General features: G+C 35.6%; 2 long non-coding RNA genes across 2 annotated transcripts in view; one reads left to right on the plus strand and one right to left on the minus strand.

Moving 5' to 3' along the window:
• Positions 1-1,067: 1,067 nt before the first annotated feature.
• LOC105376013 (uncharacterized) lies at positions 1,068-16,062 on the minus strand. The gene is made up of 3 exons (XR_929549.2): positions 15,894-16,062; positions 4,694-4,798; positions 1,068-3,444 (listed from the first exon to the last, which is right to left on the minus strand). It is a non-coding gene; the product is annotated as an uncharacterized LOC105376013 (long non-coding RNA).
• LOC124902137 (uncharacterized) overlaps positions 15,462-21,258 on the plus strand; it is a 137,318-nt gene continuing 131,521 nt past the window's right edge. The window contains exon 1 of the long non-coding RNA XR_007061444.1: positions 15,462-15,708. This is a non-coding gene — a long non-coding RNA (uncharacterized LOC124902137). The remainder of the gene's footprint in view (positions 15,709-21,258) is intronic.

The raw sequence follows: 21,258 nt of genomic DNA on the forward strand, positions 1-21,258 counted from the left end.
GTGCTGATCAGCAAACTCCTTTTCCCTTTTGGGGACACACAGAGACAGCCAAAGTGGCGTCTTGATACACAGTGCAGTTAAGTGAGGGGCTTTCCAGATAATATGTACAGCCACCTTCCTTAGTCAGCCTGCCCAGTATTTCACATCTCCAAGGCAGCCCCTGGGTTAACCTGGATCTTACTGTGACCATGCTGCTGAGATCAGAGCACCCTGGGGAAAGGCAGCAAGCATTGTAGCTAAAAGGGATTCCACTGTGAACACTCATCAAATAGGGCCACTCTGCTAGTCCCTGGTATGTAAATATTACAGTGAAATAAAGGAACAAAACTATAAGTTTCCTCCATTTATCCATATCCACAGTGGCAAAGTTTCCCTAAAATCTGAGTTAAATTCCATTTTATAGCATTGAAATGCCTCTTAACTATCACCATATATTTAAGGATCTTTTCCTTTTTTTCAAGAAAGCAATAAATGGTAATGTCTTTTCTTCTTGAGAAAAACACACCAAGATTTGTATATACCTGTTTTCAGAAAGATAAATTTCCTGTTGCTGTAGCAAAAGGAATATATGTTTGCAAAGTTCCTTGGAGACCCTTAGTTCAAACTCCTGCCAGCTTACTTTCCAATGCCAACCTCAAAAAAGGGAACCACTTATTGATCTCGACTTGTTTCTTTCCTCAGGAATAATAAAACCAGTCAGAAAACGGTTTACTTAGAATTATCCTGTGGTAGACAATTTTGTCTCTGGGTTTTCACCCACAAAAGCAGGAAATGAGCAAACTCATTTTCCCTTTTGGGAATGAAGGAAAACCTGCTAGCACTTTTGGAAGAATTCACCTCACATGCAGTGAGCTAAAACAAATGTGATGATACCTGAGTGTTGTGTGATGCTATTGCAAATAGAGAATAAAAGGCAACAGAATAATTCCTTGAATGGCTCCTAGACTTGATGCACTAAAATTTCTGTCTCATTGCTTATCCCAAAAGAATCTGGCCTAGTCAAGGCAAGGGACTTACTTACCCCTGCCTTTAGCAAACTCCTAATGAGTCTTCTAAGAGTGAAAGTTCTCTATCCGATCTCTCAGCTGGAAATATGTGCCTTACCAAGCTGCTGTTAAGGGAACAGAAAAATGATCAACATAAATTGCACCAGGAGATGGTAAAACACAAATGTTTTAGCAATGGGGGCTATTTAATGGGCTTCAGCTGTTCCAGCTCTACTCATTGTCATGAACTGAGGGTATAGGTACCATGGGATCCTTTAATATTCATTGCCAGTCACTGTTACAAGTTTCTAATATTTTAAACAAGGCTATAAATGTTGTTAGTGTTATTATTTTCATCTCACAGTTGTGACAACTGAGGAACGAGGCAGCTAAGTGCCTTGCCTACACAGATACTAAGTGAGCAAATTGGGATTAACACCCAAGCACTCTGACTCCAGAGGCCATGCTGGGAAGCCTTGGGGCACTTGCCCAAGCTGTTAAAGCAGCATGTGCCCACCCACAAACTTAAGGCAGGTGCTATACATCATTGCCAAAAGCAAGTTCCCCACCTCCTATCCTTGGTACTTGGTAGCAGCTGATGTCAGGCCATCAATGATGATTTGCTTTCTAAAATGAACTCCAGAAGACTTCTGGTAAAACCTATCAATTCCTAAAGACTCGAGACCTGGGTCCACGTGTGTTCACTACCCAGATAACTCTTCTTTTTTAATGTACTCAATAAGTCTCGTGACCTATTTTATTACAAGTAAGATCAGAACATATTGTAGCAGAGAGGCCAGTGATGCTGCCAGACTGTAGGTAGTAGCATGGGCCATGTTCTACAGAGTGCTCTTTGGGGCAATCTAACCTGTTCTTTGCTGATGCCAAGAGGTCCAGGCAGTATTTAAAAATCAAGCTATCCAGCTGGACAGAGTGCAATGCTAAGGAGATCATATGTCTCAGTTCATCTGGGAAAGTCTTGGTTTCATCCTGCTTTCCCAGTGTAGTTATGAATAACACTCCCTTTCACTTTCAAGTCTTCCAGTGTGAACTGTGGATAGCTACATGGTGACTCTGGGCATCTTCCACCTCTTCATGCCTATAGCCAGGCAGGAGCCCCAAGAATCTGGCTTCTTTGAGAGAGATGAGCTATTGGTTTCATCTTTTAGATATCAGGGACTCAGGGGTCCCATGGATACTCACACCTAATCAGAGAGCCTGATGACATCAAGGAGTTCATCAATTGTGTGATGATTTTTCTTTTGTAAATTTTTTTCAGAGAGTTTCAGGTTAAGTATAAGCCATTCAGAATAATTTTTTGTGTATATATTTCTCCCATCACATATGCAAAGCTGCTTAAAAAATCACTATTGGTTACTTTCTTCTTCAGAAGTCTTCATTAGCATAACATGAAAAGGACATGCACATAGCCTGATTATATGTTCATATGAAAAGTCACTCAAGGAAATTAGGAACAGATTTTATTGACAGGGATAGATAATAATAACACCTGAGCCTCTCCCACAAGTCCTAGCGGCCACTGGTCAAATGTACCAATTGTTACTAGCAGTCATTTGACTTTCGACATTCATTTATTTCAGTATAGAAATCTTTGAAGGAAGATCTCCAAGCATGCCTTACTGACATTCTGAAAAGTGTTGCAGCTTAAACCATTATCTAATACCTTATTCATTTTTAGTTAGGTTAGTGGCAAAAATGATACACTAGATTAGAAGAAGTAGAAGGATGATAAAGGACAGGCCAGTTTAAGAAAGGCTTTATTGATAGACAAAAGTAGAAGAGACCAAATCTAAGCACTGTCTGTTTCAAAAATGTGATTAAGCTCATGTATGCCAGGCACAATCTCAGTCTCAGTCTACAAATTCTGTTACTGACTCCTGCACAATGTCAACCCCTCTCCTCACCTCCCAGCCTGCATCGGAAGTAACCTCTATATCCACATAGTGTCTAGCTCCTGCTCCACTGGTAATGTGGAGGAGGTGTTGAGCAGCTTTCCATCTGGATGCCCAACCAATGGAATTTACTCACTCAGACATTTAAAAAGCCCAAAGCATCGTTGACAAGCTTACATCACAAATCTTCTGATCTGTGGCTTTGGAAAATGAGTGTAGGTGTCAAACCCTGAAGAATTAATTAAACATGCATTTGATTTAATTTCTACAGCCTTCAGTTCTGAGACTAAGATAGACAAAAGCAATAGGCAACACTGAGTCTCACCAATATGTACCACTGGGGTAAGGTGCCTTCAGCTCTTACCCTGTCTATACATCCCCAGCACTGAGGCCATCAGTCCCCTGGGCTTCACTTACCTCTGCTTTACTCACCTCATTCCACCCTGCATTCTGTTAAATTCCCTGTGAAGCTCCTCCAAAGCAGCCCGAACTCTGGATGCTTTTGTTATGAGATGCTCCTTGAGGAGGAAGCCAGGACTTTGATTCTGGAAAAAAGAAAAAAAAATCTTCCATATACTGGAGTTGGTGCCCAGTATTTCCATTGCCTCAGCCAGACTTTATGGGACATTGCTTTTTCTTTTATCCTAAGACTTGAATTTTAAATCTGACTTGTGTAAAGATTTGTGTTTTTATCAAATGTTCTATCCCTTTTTGACCCGCACCAGAAATCATTTTCCACATTGTTACTGGAGAAGTTCATGGGTCTTCTTCCCTTAGGTTTAATGGTGAGTAATAATTGTGAGGCCCAGATGTTCTCCAGACTATTTTATTTCTGTAGCAACCAGGAAGAAATGCTTTCTGTTCAGGCTCTCTCACTCTCAACTCAGATATTCAGGACATAAAGCACAGTCAACACATCACTGTTGGTTCCTTTCTTCTAGAACAGCCCTCATGCATATCTTCTAGCTTTAAAGTGAGAAACTCCATTAAATTCCAGCCATTCTTGCTTAGTGTCCCCACTTCCTCTTATTCCCTAGGATGTGTAAAAGAATTAAATACCTCCAAACCTTGAGGCACGGAGTTTTTCTTTTCCAGTTTGAAACTGGCTTGTCCAGTATTTTTTCTTCACGTTGACTCTAAAAGGCTAAAAATCATAAGATAAAACTGCCCCTCAACTTCTAACAGGACTCAGGCCTTGGGGCTCCTCATCAGTTTCCCTGCTTTTCCAGGGACCAACATCGCTTTTGTACATCCAAAGCAAACAAAAATGTAAATGTTTTAATCCCATTTGAACAAGAAAATAGCTCTCTATATATAGAAAAGATTTATCATATGAATGTGCAATTAAAGACTAAGGGATTAACGTAAGCTTTCTTGAACATAATATGTAATTTGAGCTTGAGCCTTGAGGAAGAGGTGGTGTTTCACTCTATAGTAAGAAATAATTTTGCCTGTCATTTGTTTAAAATAAGAAAAAGAAGAAACAAATTAATGAACAATTTTCTTTAGTTTGTATGAATATATTAGAGTCTATTGTTTCTGAATATGAAGTATAGTGATTCTGAATATGGATTATATTGTTTCTACAGCAGCAGCTGTGACTGTCCTGCTTGTATTCAGACTTTGAAGAACAAGTGGCTATTGTAAGTATTGATTCTATGAAGCTGTAAAATTTATGAAACCCAAATATTAAAATTATGACAATAAACCTCGGTCTACCCTTGACCCTGTGCCCATTAACAATAAGATGGATGAACTGAAAACTAATGGAGGAAACCTGGGTCATTTACTTACCTACTACATGAGGAGACTTAATCCTAGGCGATTTGAACAGAAAATGCTCTTTGCAGCTCTTCTAGTCCAAATATAATAGCGAGATTTCATGTCACATTTTAACTCCTGGGGAAGGAAGAAGCAGAGGAAAAACATTCAGGAAAAAGTCATTTACTCAAAAAGATGTTTGCAAGGGAGCCAGATTTTTGAAAAATCGGTTCATCAAATAAAGACAGAACATATGTTTAAAGGAAAAACAAAACTGCAAAATTACCAGGTTATCAAATTTACAGTTAGTTTGTTTATGGTAGAAAAAGAACAATGTTCTCCCATTATTATCATATCCAAGAAGATCCTGACATGGTATCAATTGTCAGCATTATAAAAGTCAAGGGTGAAGGTGTTTGCATTAGGAAGTCAAAACTTAAGAAGTCAAAAACTCAGAGAACATCTGAGCTTTCCCTAATTTTGAGACTAGAATTAAACATAATGACTCGGTTATTTGGCTTGTGCTGAGGTGCAAACTTTGGTTTTTGTTTGGTTGGTTCCCTGGTCTTGAGATGTGATGTAAATTGTTACCTAATATGGAGGCCTGCCAAGAAGTCAATCTTGCTTTCACCCTCCAGACTATCAGTAACAGTTGTTCAAGCATGAAAGATTCTAAGATGCCTCAACTGGGATAAGTATATGTTGTAATATATGAACAGAATTTTCTCCCATGAACATGAAAAAAGTTGAGCAGGGTCATTTCTACCAGACATTTTGTTTTTTAACTTCTGCTCAATTTGAATGCCCTTCTTTTACATATAAGAAGGAGAGGAGTAACCTGGTAAAAATCATACATCAGATATTATAACTCTGACTTGAAACTAGGTGTTCTAATAAGTGGTCCAGCAAACACATGGTAGAGAGTGAGGAGGAAGGGGACACTTATAAATATTTGTAGAATAAGCAAATTCTCTTTTCATTTCACCAAGCTGAATGCACTACAAAAATTAAAATTGCCATATCACACTCTGGAGCTTATCCATTCAGAGTAATTTTACCTACTCTACTGTAATGATTTCTTTTCCATTGTGGAGAGAATTGATTTTTGTAAAATATCAAGTTGAATAATCCTTGTGTGCAATAGGATCATTGAGTGTTCGCTGTATGAAGGAACTCATGTGGTTTGCCAGAAATCTCTGTGTGACTCTGGCTAAGTAGTAAGTGGTAGAATGCATGAATTATGTGAAGTGAATGCTGTGTGCTCATTACATGATTCCACAGAAGCTTGCTATTTCTGCCTGACTTCTTATGTAAAGGGTCATTTTTTTAATTTCCAAAGTTTAGGTTTTTTATCTCAATTTGGTTTCTTGATAGTTTTTTTCCCCTGTAATGAATCATTAGTTTAGCCAAGAGTTTTTATCTAGTTTTGCTTTAGAGTGCACAGATTTTCCTGAAAATTCACTCGAATAACATGTTCCTTGCATCTTTTCCTCAGAGTTGAATTGCCTTTTTCAGTTTGAGTCTGGCAAACCTAGAGCTTCTTACTCAGCTCCAGTCCCACCTTTTAGCAGTGGAAAGGGGCCAGAATACATGTTTTGCAGACTCTTGCCAAATCAGCTGTTGATGTAGTTCACTTACTTTTCAGACCTCACCACAGATGGCAGCAAATCCTACAGCAAAAAATGTGTTGAGACCAGAGGGCCCACAATAACTGGCAATTTACTGTAGTGTACTCAAAATCAACTGTGAACCCTGAGCATCCTCTGCATGAGGTAATTCTATTTTTAAAATATTACTATGAGATTTAAGAACTATAATGCCTAACTCCTTTTGCACATTAATATTTAAACATTAAATAATAATTGCATTCAAAAGAAAGCCACTTCTAAGAAGTAAAACACACTGTTTTGAAAAGGGGTAAGAATCTCTTTGGAAGAATAATGAGAATGAACAGGAGTAAGAGAAAACTGTAGCCTGAAAGCTAGTTTCATTGACTCTGCATGAGACTAGAACACACTTAATGAATTTCTGTTTCTTTACAGACAGCTAATTAAAGTCCATTGACAGATTATATATATAGCATTATTATATATATATATATATATATATAGCATTCTTGATGTTGGAGTGAACATACAAAGAAAAAATTATAAAATGGACTTCAAGTCTACTATTTTTTCCTTTAAAAATGTATAAGAAATTAAGGTAGCATTTTTTTGCTTTGCTGATACCCATGTTATTTTAAAATGTAATAAAAAATTAAGAGAAGAGTTTTGCTGCACTCTTAGAAGACATACTCTTTTTTTCTAAATATGAAAATAGTGGTTTGTTCTATAAATTTCATTTCCATAAAAAAAATTTAATATTTATATGTGCATGTTTCACCAAAAAGTCCTGCATTTGTGAGGTCCTGGAAAAATATAAAAGAAATATCTTCTCTGAATCTTTATTCTAATTATAAAACCCACTGAAAAATGTATTGTTCATTGAGCTTTCCATTTATTATTAAAGTACATACTATATGTTAACTTATGTAAAAGATGACATTGTGAGAAAATGACTGTGACTCTCAACCTGTCCCCTATGATGACTGGAATGAACAAACAGATATTAAAATAAGAAAAATTATGTAGTTCATTATGATGAAAGCATTCTAAGAAGGTTATGTCAAAAGACTGAGGAGTAAATGCTGCCAAAACAGGCAACATTGTGGATTAATTTTACTCACAGAAAGTATTTTTAGTGATATGAAAAATGACTCTTTCTCAATTCACCAAGATTTTCACCATTGTGACTGGACATTCTCACCACAGAAACAACGTTGCAGAAAATTAAATCAGCAATATGACATATATTCTGGGAATGCAAAGAAAGATCAGAAAGAGGTAATAATAACCAAAATTAACACATTAGGTCTGAAGGCCAGAAATTGAAGCCCTATTTTATGGAGGCTCCATTTTTTTAAACGTGAAGTCGGAAAAAATGAAAGATAAAAATACTCCAAGATAAAAATAGCAGACAGAATTAGCAGAACAAGTGGCGGGTGCTGGCGGGGGAAGACTTGAATTCTAAATTCAAAAGGCATACTGAACACTTGCAGAAAATAATAAAAAGAGAATAACTAGATATATTTTGGCAGAATTATTTAATTATATGAATTAAGAAAAATCCTATGAATATTCATTCAGAAAAAGTTGTATATAACCTAGGAAAGAAATTTCTTCCCATGCTCAAAAACAAATCTAAAATATCATAAGACAATGGAGCAACATCTAAAGAGTTTTAACATGGAATACTTGTTCAAAATTTTTCTTCATGTGTGCAAGCACAAGAAATATTTTCCTCATTCTTACGTATTTCAGCATGTCTATTATTCTTACATCTTTCCTAATACACATATTAAAGCCTGCAAGGAAAACTAAAGAAAAAAGAAGATGAAATGATTTCATCTATTCAAAATAAATCATCCTCAAACTAAGCAAATATATTTAATAAAAAATACATCACGATCAAAAACACTGACTAGTTTAAAATAGGTCATAAAAGAAAATCATGTTATCTAAGTCAATGTAAAAATAATTTTATAAAATTTAATTCGCATGCTGGGTATAATCGAAATAAGAAAGTTATTTCTTGACATGTTAAAATGTAACCATTCTGAATTGGATCATCACGCTTAATGAAGAAATTATTGAAGCATTTTAATTAAATTTAGTAAAATAAAAAATAAAACCAAACCAAAATATAAAGTTACTCATAACTAAATCATTAGTAAATATTTTTTCTGATCATACTAGCCTAAACAAAAAATAAGAAAAAGAAATAAAAAGGCATACATTCTGGAAAAATGAGATAATAAATTAATTTGCAGTTGATATGATTACCTAGAAAATCCAAGATAACTCACTAAAAAAGGGAAAAAAACCACACTATTAGAACTGATTATTAATTAAATACTAAATAAATAAACTAATATTATATACCTTGTTCAGAAGAAATATACAAAACAAGTAGCGGTCATATATATGAGTAACACTTTTTTCTATAACAGCTTTACCAGACAGTTCTGCACTGAGAATTACAGAAAATGCTTAGGTAGGACACAGTAACAGAATTACAAAATCCAGCTCTGAATTTCTAATACATGATCCAAAAACCATCTGTTAATTATTGCAATACCTACTTAGCTGAATGGATGAGCAACAGAAGGGGAAGTCAAGGAAGTAGAAATCATTGCCCCTGATATTATGAAACTTGAATACCTGAGGAGAGTATATATATACACACGAAACCATTCAAAACTGGAATTAATTTTACATTATACATTTATATTTTTACATTCTATAGTTTTACATTTTTTATATAAGAAGAGTTCAGTCTGCCTGAATAGTCAATACAATTTGTAAATGTTTTCATCCTCAAATATAATTTCTGACAAAAAATAACCTTGTTTGGGTTGGGGGAAGCAAATAGGGGCACGAAGTCAGCTTATTTCTAAATACAAAGTTAAGTATATGAGATTTTTCATCAAGAAAAAAGTCCATTAAACTCATCCTAGGAATTCACGAGTGAAAGCTTTTTCCTATATCAAAGGAATGTATCCCTCACTCCACAATTGCACCCCTAGAAAACCTATTTCATGGCATAATTTTTGTTCTATTACTGGAATGAAATAAAATCATGGAAATAAAACCAATCTCAGATAATTATTTTCTGAATATGCGGAGACATTTCAGGACAACCAGTAACTAAGCAATGCCTAAAAATAGCAAAAGATCATTAAGGAACAGCAACTGTGTATTTCTGGTATTTCATTTGCCATAGATGGGGGATTTTCCAGCAGGCACATGAAAGAGGAAGGAAAAATGAGACAAGAATTATACCTGCCACCTGACCCAGAAACTTTATGAATTAGTCTGAGAATGGTACGTGAGTTATCTTTTTAACAGTGATTTAGGAACGTGTAGCATATCACTTTTAAATGCTGAGTGAATCTGACATGATCAATTCTCAACATTAAGAAAAAAATTATATTTGGACAAATTGCATCTCATCTACTGCTTCTCAACTGTACCGGTGCCAGCAATATTAAAGCTTTTAGCAAACTGACTTACAGTCATCTGTGTCAGTTACCTGGCAGACATCAGAATGGAGGCCAAGCGGTGGCCATTGTTTTATGTATTTCGACTTTTTAATCCCTGTGACTTTTTTGTATAAGAAACTTGAGTTATGTCCCAGATATTTAATATTAATCCCATAACCCTTCTATATTCCAGCGTGCAAAAAATGTCTATTTTTTTTTACTTGATAGATTCTGAAGAATCAAGTACCTAAATAAATTTAAACTGATTTTGCTAACAGCAACATCAGAGAAATTACCTTTGTTTCTTGGCAATTTTAGTTTATTATAAAATATGCCCAATGCAGGAAGCTGTTTTACTAATTTTTACATCAGGCTGGTACTGAAGGGCAGCCTCATCTCCTAAGCCACCATGATGAGCTAAGAACTTGGGACTCTTAGATGTACAGTTTTCTTCAATTGGTGGCTTTATTGAGGTCATCACAATCAGTTGAGAAATCTTCTGTTTAAGCTTGCTTTGTTACAAGATTATAGATGCAAGAAAAGCAGGATTTGTGTACCTATCCTTACTCTATTGTACTTCCTCTAAGAAGGTCATTTGCTAGTTTCCTGGGCCATCTACATCAAATTAGATGAAGGAATTCTTCATATTCAATTCCTTTGGGTTCTGTTCGATTCTGGGTCAATTAGTGTTTTTGCTATATTAGGCATAGACAATTGTACTTATATCTAGAAAATTTTCTTTTCTACACTGCTGAGATTTACGCATCTTTTGTAGGATGTGCCTTTAACTTACTCCCTATTACAAGGCCAGTTGGTCTCACGTTCATGATAATTTGCATAATAGATTGGGTTCCTCATAGAATTCCTAGTATTCTTTTCTGGATAGATGAATTAAGTCAAACAGAAATTCCCTTGATATTGATGGTTCAAGCTGTTTTAAGACTTAGGATGCAGTGACATATACAGTAATATTTTGCAAAGTTAATATTGATGTTGAAAAAAATGAGGGACAGAGTGGTTAGGTGGCTTCCCAAGGTCACAAAATCAATAAGGAGGACAGCAGTAATTAAAATGGCATGGTAGTTTAGAATCTATATGCCTAAATACACAGAGATTCAATGAGTTTTACTCATCATGTCTTTGTCATCATTTCATTATCTTGTACTATCTTAATATATTTTTACCAGGACTTTCCTGGGGTTGTGTAGGTGGAATCATTTTGTTCCTATTAAGCACAAAAGATATTTGGCAGGGACACATTAAGGAAATTATAAGTTAAATAATGGAGAATAGTCACTCAGACCTGAAGTAGGCTGAATAGGTATATCTCGAAGCAGATGTATCCCATCAAGTACCAATTTCATCGATCTATTCTATTGAGCGTAAATAGGCTAGCCAACATTTCATTGCATCATAGAGACACAATATAATTTTCAGCAGACTGTGAAGTCTAGTGAGCTGCCTGTGGCCTGCAGTGTGGCAATCAGAAGCTGTATAGGTTTGAGCAAGTCACTTAACCACTCTGGGGTTCAGACGAAATAAGGGAGTTGAGCTTGATGGGTTCTACCAATCTTTCCACTTCTAATCATCATTTTTGCTTAGACTAAGTTAGTATTTTTCATTATGATGTTACTGGAATAGAACATTAGAATAGGAACCCTTAATTATAAACGACAGGGATTTTACTGAAAATGCCACAAAAAAGGGCAAAGGAACATTCTTCAAAATGCTTTTTCAAAACCCTATCTTTTACTAATCTTAGAGTTGTATCTTCTTAAGGATAATTGTATTTTCTTCAAAATTAAGTAGAATCTCTTTCAAGAAAAGAAGGTTATTCTCATGGATAAAATATAGTGAATGCTTTAAAATTTGAATTTCTTAGAAGAAAAATTGCTCCAGTGTAATGAGAAGAGTCGGAGCCTCTCTCCGAAAGAGCATTAATTGTTCCCCACCCCTTCTGTCTGACAGTCAATTACTAAGAAATAAAATTATGTATTTAAGTAAATAATTTTTTGAAAATGATCTTTCAAATTACTACTTACATTATTGGCCTTTGAATTATAAGTGTAAGATTATTTTAATAAAGTTATCTTATAAAATAGTTACATTTTTTACACCTCGTAAAAACTAGAATACTATCCACATTATATGTTGCATTTTACAATCTTAAGCAGTATAAATGAATGTAGAAATTGCTTAATATTAATTAGCCAACATAAATACTGTTATTATCTATGATTCTTAATTGAAGACAGTCCACAGTAAAAAATAAAAAAAAATTATCTTAAGAAGTAGTGTAACTGGAGTCTACTCTCTAACCCCATGTTGTACATAGTGAAACATAAACCCCAGATTTCCATGAATTAGGGTCTTGAGCCTTTTATGGCAAATATAAATACTCTGGGGGATTCTGGTTTAAAATTTTCTAAGACCATACTTCCTGCATCAGCCTCTTCCAATTTGTCACTAAAATTCTAATGGAGCCCTGAAAAGAAGAAATTTCTTAGTAATACTAACAACAGAAATATACACCTGGTCTACTGGCCACACCAGAGAAATTTCTGCTAACCACAAAACCTTTGGAGCTCAGTTGACAACCATAATAAGGCTTCTCAATCTGAGAATTAAAAAGATGAAAAGACACTTGGCCTTTTACTAACTCCCTGTTTCCTGATTTGATAATTCTGGTTGTGTCAACCCAAACACCAAGCTAACATCTCTCTATTATGATTCCATTCCCTACCTCCCTGATGCTGTCTTTCTTCATGCATCCAACTAGAAAGTTCAACTTCCAAGGAAGAAAAAAAAATTGAAGGAAATTGAGGGATAACATATTACATTCTGGGAAGTAAAGTCCCAGCAGATAAAGCACTTTGGGAAAACATATTCAAAAAACCACTAGTAGCAATTCATGGAGGGGATCATTCTTATAAATTATTTAATGCGTTTGTTGTATCACAGAAACAGACTGTAGGAGGTGAAGAAATTCCAATCAAAATCTATCAATGCTACGCTAAATGCATTCCTGTTAGAAAGTGTAAATTATCTTGAGAGTTGTTCTCGTTATCTTGCCCTTCAGCTATTGGTATGAGAAGAAAATTATAATATTGTAATACCATAGCAAAGACAGAGTACCTGCTCAAGATAAAGTTCCAGCTTATTTATTGGTAGGCATTGGGTCTGTTTGAATCTCTTCATGTTCTAGGACAAGGATGAGTATGTAAGAAGGTAGGTAAATTGATTGATAAATAATAAATTAGATAAATAAGAAAAATGAAAGTTAACATGTACATGATTCTAAAGAGTTAAAGAAAACAAATATTAATACATCGGGAAAGAATTTGCTATAGAACAAAAGGAAATCTTTAAGCATATTCATACACCTTTGTTAGGAAGTTAGAAAACACAGCATTCAATGAAAGAGTAGCAAAAAGATGAGATAAAACTGGATTACAAGGAAACTCAAAATTTAATAACAGAATTAAAGAGTTTATTTGAAGCAAAAAAGAGTACATCAGGCAAAAATGAAATCAATCATTCAGAGGGCAAAATAGAAACAATTCTTCCATATCACTTTAGAGTGCTTGTGTTGTTTTGGTGCACAAAACTGTGACTGCACAAAATAAGGCAGAAATGTTATCAGTGATGATGAAATCATTCATGGGTTTTTTCTCTTTTTATACTGTGTTTTATTTTGTAAATATTTTGAAAACAGCCAGTGCTATTCAAATAATCAAAATAAATACACATTATAAAAAGTATGATAGCAGTGCAAACTCAGAGAGATCAATTGTCAGAACAAAACACATGGAACAGATTTTAGTACAGCTGTAAGAAAAAATTGCAAGCTAATTAAAAACTGCATAGATTTTTTAATGTTCAGAAGAAAATTAAGTTAAATTATTATCTTACCTTATACATGTAACTATATAGTAAATGAATCAACTAATTAAATGGACATAAGCCATAAAAAGCTAGAAGAAAACATATTATACTATTTGATTAATCACTCAAGATAGAATTCTAAAGCATACAGTAAAAAAGATGGCATCAAGCAAAAGGAAAAAATATATATAAATATATATTACATATATTTTAATAAAATAATATACCGTTAAAACATTGCTAAATATAGAAAATCAGAAATCATGATAAAGAATCAACAAATATTCAATCACATTTAAAATTAAAGAAAATAATATTAACATGAAATATTAGTATTCATGTATGAAATTGGCAAAAATTTAAAAATCATTTTTCAGAAATTGGGCATAAGGCTTCCTGTGGAAATGGAAAACCATCTAGATGGTGAAACCATCTAGAAAAATAAATTGGTGAAATGTATAAACAGCATTAAAAATTTCTATCATTTTGAACCAGTAATCCAACATTAAATTTTTTATACTTAAAAGATATTCAGAGGTACCCACAAAAATTTATATTTTAAATGTTTATACAACATTATTTATGATGGTAAAAAGTAAAGATAATATAAATGTCCAAGTATAAGAAAATAACTACCTGTTAGTATAGTCATATGTTGGAATCAGGTAATAATTAGAACTTAATTTTTCAAAGAATATTAGGTATAAAATTTTTATTAGGTGATATTACATGACAAAATAGCAATATAGAAACAGTATACAGATGGTCCTCCACTTACAATGAGTTTATATCTCCATTGTAAGTTGAATATACAGTTAGGTTGAAAATGCACTTAATACACTTGCCCTACAAAACATTATAAGCTCAGCCTCGCCTACGTTAAAAGTGCTTGAATATTTCCATCAGCAAAATCATCTAACACAAAGCCTGTTTTATGATTAAGTATTAAATATCTTATGTAATGTATTGAATAATGTACTGAAAGTGAAAAACAAAATGGTTGTACTGGTCCTCAAAGTACAGTTTCTACTGAATGTGTATCACTTTCTCATCACTGTAAAGGTAAAAAATTGTAAGTCAAACCATCTTAAGTTGGGGACCATCTGTGTAAAATACAGTAGTTCTTGCTTATCTGTTGTTTTACTTTTTGTGGTTTCAGTTACCCGTAGTCAACCATGGTCTGAAAATATTAAAGGAAAATTCCAAAATAAACAATTCACAATTTTAGATTGTGGATCATTCTGAGTAGCCTAATGAAATCTCATGCTGTCCCTCTCCATCCCACCCAGGACATGAATCATCCTTCTGTTCAGCATATTCATGCTGTATACACTGCCTGCACTTTGGTCACTAAGTAGCCATCTTGGATACAAGATCATGGGTCATGGTATCACATTGCTTGTCTTCAAGTAACTCTTATTTTACTTAATAATGGCCCTGAAGCAAAAGAGTAGTGATTATGACAATTCAGATATGCCAAAGAGAAGTTGTAAAGGGCTGCCTTTAAGTAAAAAGGTTGAAAGTTCTTCACTTAGTAAGCAAAGAAAACAAAATCATTTGCTGAGGTTTCTAAGATCTAAAGTAAGAATGAACTTTCTATAAAATTGTGAAAAAGAAAGAAATATGTTCTAGTTTTGCTGTCACACCTCAAAATGCAAAAGTTACAGCCACAGTGTATAATAAGTGTTTAGTTAAGATGGATAAGGCATTTAACTTGTGAGTATGAGAGAGCCAGGTACGAGTGGGTGCCCGAAAAAACTCCAGCCGGCCTGTGCACTGAGGGCAGCCTTGGGAAGCTCCTACCCTTTGCAGCGGGGAGGAGCCTGGCTCCTCCTCTTCCTGTGTGGAACCTGGGATTCAAGCCGCCAGGCAAAGTGCCCTAGCAGGGACTCTGGCTTAGTGAGAGTCTCTGTTTCCCCCTTTTCTTTCTTTCCACCCAATAAAACCGGGTCTTACTCATCATTCAAATTGTCTGCGAGCCTGAATTTTTGTGGCCGTGGGACAAAGAACCCCGTCTTTAACGGAACTAAGGAAAAGCCCTGCAACAATTTTGGCGCGCAACGTGGGGACTTGAGAAGCGGTGAGTGAAATGGAGACTCAAAACTCTCTCACTGTGGTTTCTAAACCTTTTCATCCTGGGACTTCTGAGGGTGGGGGAAACCATGCGCCTACCCCCTGTCACTCCAAAGCCTTTTCCTGGCCTTTTCCTTCCTTTTTCAAGTCAGATCTGCGAGCAACGGCTCCCCTCTACCCCCCCATCCTTACCATGGCTGGGACTTATGGCCCAAGGGTCCCACACAGCTGGCTGGCTGGCGTTTTCCACCACATCTCTGGAGACTTCCCCTTCCCCAGCCAACGGGTTTTACTCCATCAGACAGTAATTAAGCTTTTCTCCTGGTAAAGAAAACAGTTGTGTAAGAATAAGAAGTTCTTCTCTAGGCATTTTTAAACCTTTTTTTTTCCCTGTTCTCTACCCCGTCAGCAGTTAAGCTTGTTTTTTCCTTTTAGAAGCCATTTTACTAGGCCAGGCTCCGCAACTATCACTGTTTGTACTCTCTGCAAAGTTTTGGTTGTCCTAGTATGGGGTAATACATAGTAAAATTATAATATTTTGGTCTGAGACAGTATTTGAAAGCCGAGGGTGACCAGGCGCGCTGGCTTCCGCCTGTAATCCCAGCACTTTGGGAGGCCGAGGCGGGTGGATCACGAAGTCAAGAGATCGAGACCATCCTGGCCAACATGGTGAAACCCCGTCTCTACTGAAAATACAAAAATTAGCCAGGCGTGGTGGCACGGGCCTGTAGTCCCAGCTACTCAGGAGGCTGAGGCAGGAGAATCGCTTGAACCTGGGAGGCGGAGGTTGCAGTGAGCCGAGATCATGCTACTGCACTTCAGCCTGGTGACAGGGTGAGACTCCTTCTCAAAAAAAAAAAAAAAAAAAAAAAAAAAGCCCAGAGTTTAGATGGCACTTTTACTCTAATTCAGGACCTTGTAATAGACAACTCAAGGGAAAGAGTGAGGCATTTTGCTTCCTTATGAGCCTCAAGAATGATGTCCTTCTAACATTCACAGTTCCACAGTTCTGTGGGTCTGCCTCTCCATCATCAGACTGTTTTAAATGTTTGCTTCTTCTCCTTGCACATCCTCTTCCCACATCTGAATTAAACTATTCTTAGTGCCTCTTCTCCTTTCCCTTTCGCTTTGGAGAGACAATACCTTTTTTCTTCCTTGCAGCACTTTAACATCTTCTTCTAGGGTCATACCCTGTTCTTCAACTCCTTTCCCACTCTAACCCCATGAGTGTGGCCAATGACAGCACCCCATCTCCTGATCCATAGAGGCAGACACAGGTCTGAGATCTGAGCATTCATGGGACTACCGCCCTTGCTTTTTTGAGGGGTTCAAATGCCAACAAATCAATCAAAACACTTCACTGAATTTTTTCTGATTGAAGTGAATGCAGGAGAATTTCCCCACCCACCATTTCTGGGTGAGTTTGAAAATATATAAGCAATGATTCTATACTCCTGAGCTTATTCCATCTGAGAGAACACAGAGGAAGCACAGACTGCTGACAGCTTTTGGAGGCTGGAACTATTTATACCAGGGTTATCTATCTCATCTTTTTCTACAGATTATTTCCTTAGATCAGTTTTTTGTTGTTGTTGTTTTACTTAAACTAGTTTAAATTTTCAAATGAAAACTGGCCAGTATAACACACAACCTCATCACGCTTAATTCTACAAGTTATGTATGTTAACTACGACTATTCTATTTAGACATAGGGAAGTTTGAAACTCACCCCCCTAGCCCATGCTGGCAATTTTTCCAATATAAATAAACATCTCTGCTCTCTCTCTTTAGCCTAGAGAATTTTCATAACCAGAAAGAAATGTTCTTTTGGCTATAAAGTGTCTATAGGTTATAATGGCAAGAACAGTATAAATAATAAGACAACGTATATTTATTTTCAACAGTAGTAATCAGAAGATTTAATATACATTTCTAACACTTTGAAGGATAAATTATAATAAAATGGCTAGGGATAATATAGATGACGCATATAAATCTAGTGAATAAACTGCATTAAATATTATACATTGCAAAAAGATTTGCAAAGCAACTTCTTTTCTAGTGCCCATGGATGACTTATAAAAATTGATTGTGTATCAGAGAAGAGAGAAATCCTCAGTAATTACTCCAAAGCAGGTTTTAAATACTGAGGTTTATGCAATAAATAACTTTATTTATGAAATATAAAAATATTCAATCATTTGTATTTTTTGAATCACTATCCTATATAACTCTTTGTTCTAAAAGAAATCAAAAGGGCAATTCTTCGCATTAGGATAAGGGTAATAGTACACAACAAAATCTGTGGTTCTAATAAAAGCAAAAATCTATGAAAAAGTACACCATTAAATACATTAATATTAGCAAAAAAGAAATTATCTAGATGTTCAATTAAAATTATTTTTAAGTAGAACAAAGTATTATTGGAGATAACATAAGGATGATGAATTGGAAAAGAGAAAATTCATATAGTTATTTGCTCCCATTCATATACCTAACAATAGGCAGGGCCAAAACAGCTTCAAACACCATACTTTGGAATGCTTCATTATACCTCATCTAGTACAATCAGCAAAAGAAAGGGTACGTGTATACAAAGACAGTCATGGAAAAGTCAAATGAAGAAAAATATTTGTTGATTTAAAAAGAATAGGCTGTCCCTTACAACATATAAAGAATTAAATTCCAGATAATTTTTTGCACTATATAATTATATACAATTATATATGATTACTTATACAATTATGAATATAATCTATAATTATAGAAAACATATATAATTTAGAAAATAATATTTGCATACATTAAGGTGAGTGAAAATTTCTTATGGAGGGAATAAAATCCAAAAGTCTTAAATGAAAAAAAGGAATATTGTATAAAAATAAATATTCTTCCATGGCAAAAGACATTGAACATGAGAATTGTTAAGAAAAATGGAGCTGATATAATGGGGAAATTTTTTGACATGTATGTAGACAAAGGGTTAACAGTTCTATACACCAACTGTAAATTCATTGTAAAAGAAGCAAATTCAAGAAGTATAATTGGGAAAAGAAAATAGAAAACAAATTCATGTGAGTGGAAATGTAAATAATGGAAATGGACAATAAGTAATGAAAAAATATGTTCAGGCTTGCTGATAATCAGAAGAATGCAAATTATAAAATGAGAATTTGTTTTTTATTCATCAAACTGGCAAAATTAAAATGTATGGTAATATTAAGATTTAATATTGGATATAAGGAAATGGACAGTCTCAGACATTACCATAGTGTGAATGAAGCATCTGGCAAAGCATACAGAAATGAAGACAATTAAGTGAGAATATGTACATGCAACGATATTGTTCACAGCAATACTCATGGTAGCAAAAGCTGGAAATTCCCACAAACAGAATGTTAGATATATAACTAGACATATAAGTCATAATATTGAGGAATGGCAAAAAGACAGCAATCACATACACACATATATAACCTAAAATATATGATTTTATTGGACAACTTTATGGTAATATAATGGAGAAAATCTTCCCAAAGGGTGACTTTCTTGGAAAATGCAAATAATCATTTCAGAAATATACACCTGAGCAGATGAATTAATGAGAAAGTAAAATTTAAAAAGACATTATCAAATAATTACTTTTATAAGAACGTCTAAGTTCAGAGACTTGCATGAATGGATTTGTCATATCTTCAGGGAATGGTTACTTCCCATGGGATTTAAACTGTTCCAGGAATTAATAAACAATGTAAATATTTCAATTTTTTAATGATATATACACACATTCAGAAGAGTACATGTATCCTAAATGATAAATATTAAGTGAGTGCCTCTGTAACCATTAGGCAAGTCACAAGATGGAATGTTTTCTGCACTCCTGATGCTCTCCAGGTGTGTCTTCCCCTCATGGTCTTTTCACTCTCCCAAGGCCATAACCAGTATGGTAACTTTTGAAAGTAACTTTCTTCTATTTGTTTATGGTTTTAACTTATAGGAGCATCATCAAATGATATAGCTTAGTTTTTCATCTTTTTAAACTTTATATAAATGTATGTATTCTGACTGAATTCTCTTATTCCACATTTTGTTTGTAAAATTTATTTGCATTGTTGTTATTACATGCGGCCCTAGCACATTCACTTTTGTCAATTACTCCATTGTATAAAGGACATTGTATGGAAAGTCTAAAAGTAAGCCATCCAGTTTATTGTGTATTTTTTTAACTTTTTTTTCTGTTTTTAATCTATTTGAAATAATGTTGTTATGAACATCTTTGTACATGTTTCCTGGCATATGGGCATATATTTCTTCAGGGTATACTCTCAGATCTGAAATTGATAAGTTATGAGATATGCCTGTCATTAAACTTACTAGAGAATGTTATATTGCTTTCCAAAGTTGTATTCCAATTTGCCTATTATGTAGTAGGGTATGGAAATTTCTGTTGCTCTACAAATTCATCAACAACTAGTATTGACAGACATTTTTTATTGTTTGGCAATATGGTGGTTGTGATTTTAAATTTGACTTACTATTGGGGTTCAGTATTTTTACCTACGTTTATTAATCATTTGGATTTCCTCTTTTGTTAAATCCCCATTCAATTATTTGGCCCAGGAAGGAGCCAAGATGGCTCTCCCAATGAGATACTAGACCATCAAAAAAACTGGAACACTCCAGGCATATCTTCAGAAGGAAAGCATTGAGAACAAACAGAGGGAGGATATAGATCCTAGGCTGAAGAGTAAGGCGGCTGGGAAACCTGCACAGGGCTACTGTGTACCAGGACTCATTCCTGGACCCCAGTGGTTCCTGGGGAAGAGGTGAGTTAAATGAGTAAGGAGTGAGCATACTATATTATACTGCCAAAGATCTCCAGAATCCTAGTGCAGGAGACCTCACAGCCCCTACAGACACAAGCTGAAAGGGAAAGCAGTTTGGAGAGGTGGCAGGGACAGGACTTTAGCCTGTGTAAAGCCCACAGGGTATGGCATGGGAATGGCTGCAGTGGAGTATGAACTGGGACAGCCATCCCTAAAGGCTCGCCACACTCTTCTAGGTGGTTTTGGCCTTTGTTGATTGTTGGACCTGGACAGAGTTGGGCTGTCTTGCCTGTGAGATGAAGCCAGTCTGATCTGAACTCCCTTCTGTTTTCCAGGCTCTCATGGGGTCCCTGCCTGGCCACACCCACTTGTAGCCTCAGGTGCCTAACAAGTTGCTTCCTAGCAGCCAACACCAAGGCTACTTCACTGGCAGACTGCACATGACCATCAGAGAACTCCATCACAAAGGACCCTGCCAATGCACAACCACCCACCTGTAGCCTCCCCCCACCATTTTGTTGTCATGCACTCATCTGCAGCCCTTGTGCACTGCATTGCTGTCATGTGTGCAAGTAGAACACACTACCCCTCCACCACCAGCACACAAGCACAGCCCACCACCTCCATTGACGCACGTGTACTCCACTGCACTGCCACCCCGTCTCCCTTTGGAACCACATGCCCACTGACACATGTGCACCCTGCCATGCCACTGCCACTGCTGGCATGTG

The sequence above is a fragment of the Homo sapiens genome, chromosome 9, assembly GCF_000001405.40.
Source record: "Homo sapiens chromosome 9, GRCh38.p14 Primary Assembly".
NCBI lineage: Eukaryota > Metazoa > Chordata > Mammalia > Primates > Hominidae > Homo > Homo sapiens.